The 3,132-nt window shown below is 39.8% G+C and overlaps 1 annotated feature.

Annotated features, from left to right (window-relative positions):
• Nucleotides 273-855: an enhancer, noted in NCBI's record as "NANOG hESC enhancer chr10:129963700-129964282 (GRCh37/hg19 assembly coordinates)". NCBI's record gives its function as "activates a minimal SCP1, AML or CMV promoter by ChIP-STARR-seq in naive H9 embryonic stem cells {active_cell/tissue: H9 hESC(naive)}" and the evidence as "EXISTENCE:reporter gene assay evidence [ECO:0000049][PMID:30033119]".

Consider the following 3,132-nt stretch of genomic DNA (forward strand, 5'->3'; position numbering starts at 1 on the left):
AGAGAGGTACAGATAGGGAGAGAGAGAGTTGGTTGGAACTTAGAAATTAAAAGCAACTTTAACATATCAGCCAATTACCATGTGAAACTTATGATGTGAGTCAACTTGCATCTTGACTCAAACTGTAAAGAAATCAATTATTTGGGACATTTATGGGACAATTGGAAAGCTGAACTCCGGCTATCTAACAATATTAAGAAATTCTTACTAAATTTTTCAGGTATGATACATTTTTATGCTTAAAGTCTTTTAAAGACTTTTTCAAGATAGTCCCCAAATCTCTATGGTTGGAACAATGGTTTCCCAAGATTTGCTCCAATATAATGTTGGAAGAGGGAAAGGAGGTGGGTGGGCCAATCAGCCCCTAGTTGCTGAATATTGAAGTGGGGGCAGTAGGGGTATGTTCTCTTTGCTTTTGTGCTTGTTGACATTCTCCAGGACAAGAAAGTTTGAAGGAAGCTGCTTTTGTTCTTCTGGAATGATTGAGGCCAGCTCCCCAGGCCAGAGGTCTCCGCCCACCCATCTATGGAACTCCTTTCCCAGCATGGGGCCCTGTGCCCGCTCCTTTGCTGCCTCTCACTTATTCTTAATTATCTGCAGACTGCCCGAGGCTCCATCCACTGGAACCTGGCCTCCTTGGCAAGGTGATGTGAGGTCTTTCCATTTTGAAAAGATTTCTCTCCGCGGTACCTGAGGACCGGAGCTTTGCATGGCAGGAGGTCTCTTTTTGGTGGCCTGGCCACAGCACCACTGTCACTCACAGTGGCCAGCAGGGCAGGGCACCGCCTTGGCAGTGCAGGTACTTTACCAGTGAAACCCAAATTATTAGCCTTAATACAATTTTAAAACAATTATTGAGCTAACCGGATGCAAATGAAACAAAATGAACCTATAAATATATGTGTTTTTCAAATTAGTAATTGGATTTTTTGATGATCTTTGGTGTGACATTGATAAGCTGCCTCTCATAACAGTCTAATTAGGCAATATGTAAACTTTGGCATTCGGTTCTGTCCTAGTGGCTTTTTCAAATGATGTTTGTAAAATTTGCAATTTCATATTACAGATTAAAAATTAAAAACTGCAGGAGGCTAACATTAAAATGAGAATTCATTTCAGGGAAAGCCCTGTAGACAAAATTCACCCTAATAGAATTGTGCATAAGGGGATGCAAATCACGATGTATAGTTACACAAGGGAAAGCTTGTCAAAACCAGTATTGTTGGTCTGTAGTTCTATTCACAGTATTAAACCCATCAGCAAAGCCACTTTGGGGAAAATGTGAACATTATCAAAGAACAGTAAATTAGCAAGAAATTAAAGCATATACCCTTGCATTTCCAAAACAAAAGATCCCTTCATTAAAAACCTTTCATCAGTGGTTTAATATTCATAGCAGTAATTTGCATAACTAAATCAGTTTTCACTGATGAGAGACGACCAAAGTTTTTTCACTAATTTCTTTTTTGAATGAGCTCTCTAGTTTTTTGATTAAAATTTCACACCAGTAGTTGAACAGAATTGAATACATGGCTTAGCCATATTTGCAAGTATCATCTTTTAGAACACCAGGTTAAATGTTAGTTCTTAGGATGGAAGGTATTGTTCAAATAGCTTTGTTTACCTTAGCTGCATATATTTTTCTCTGCTTGAAATTTAGGCCATTGAGTAAAAAAAAAAAAAAACAAAAACTTTAAAACGAGCAGAGAAGCAAGTTGATGGCATTAGAACTTGTTTCTTCTTCTTTTTTGATCCCATAGGTAGGCATGGTGCAAAGTAGCCATTGTAATCTACTAGTTAAGGCAAAGTCATCCCCTTGCCCGCATTAGTAGTTCTGATAATATTTATTCTTATTTATTTATTTATTTAATATATATTTTTATTTTTTTTACTTTAAGTTCCAGGATACACGTGCAGAATGTGCAGGTTTCTTACAAAGGGATGCATGTGCCATGGTGGTTTGCTGCACCCAGCAACATGTCTCATAGGTTTTAAGCCCGGCATGCATTAGCTATTTGTCCTAATGCTCGCCCTCCCCTCACCCTCGCCCCCTCACCTGACAGGCCCTGGTGTGTGCTGGTCCCCTGCTTGTGTCCATGTGTTCTCATTGTTCAACTTCCACTTATGAGTGAGAACAGTTAATTTTCTGAGGATGATGGCTTCCAGCTTCATCCACATCCCTGCAAAAGACATGATCCCATTCCTTTTTATGGCTGCATAGTATTCCACGGTGTATGTGTACCACATTTTCTTTATCCAGTCTATCGTTGATGGGCCTTTGGGTTGGTTCCATGTCTTTGCTATTGGGAATAGTGCTGCAATAAACATACATGTGCACGTATCTTTATAATAGAATGATTTATATTCCTTTGTGTATATACCCAGTAATGGGATTGCTAGGTCAAATGGTATTTCTGGTTCTAGATCCTTGAGGACTGAATAATTTTCTAAAAGTGCAATAATCTTCTGAGATTATGAAAAGGTAGTTTTGCTGGTGGAAAGAGACAAAAGGCTCACTGTTTATACCCTGCAGACAGCAACCAGAGGGCCGACTGGTGGCTTCTTCCAATTCTTAATGTATGCCTGGTGTTGCTACATTTTCTGATAACAGCAATGAAGCAAAGTGATGAGGATTTGCTTGGGTGCTTTTCCTGTGACACATCCATCCATTCATCTAGCAATTTAATCCCAGTTACAAACAGACTTGTAGCTTCTGTTTAGAGCGTGATAGGGCACAACCGTTTTCTTCTCACTTTCAACCAGAGGGGCTCAAAAGCACATTTTTTGGGGGGAAGGTGGTCACATGAATTTAGTGAGTTGTGGGTGACTTTCGGACTTTTGAGAACCATATAATTGAAAATACCAGTGGCTGGTACAAGGGGAGAGCATTGTTGCCTATGTGCAGAGCCATCACCTGGAAGGACATTGCCTCTCCCGCTGGGAGCCGCACCAGAGTGACTTCTCCCTAGGCAATCCTGGTGATTTTCTGGTGATTCCTACATTTTTCCACCAGTTGTATTTCTTGACATCCAAGCTTAGAAATTCAACCATTAACATAAAAATGAGGACTTTAGGGAATAAAACTTTAAAAAGCATTTCTGATGGATCTCCTGGCAACCTTTTATTCATTCA

The sequence above is a fragment of the Homo sapiens genome, chromosome 10 (assembly GCF_000001405.40).
Source record: "Homo sapiens chromosome 10, GRCh38.p14 Primary Assembly".
NCBI classification, from domain to species: Eukaryota; Metazoa; Chordata; class Mammalia; order Primates; family Hominidae; genus Homo; species Homo sapiens.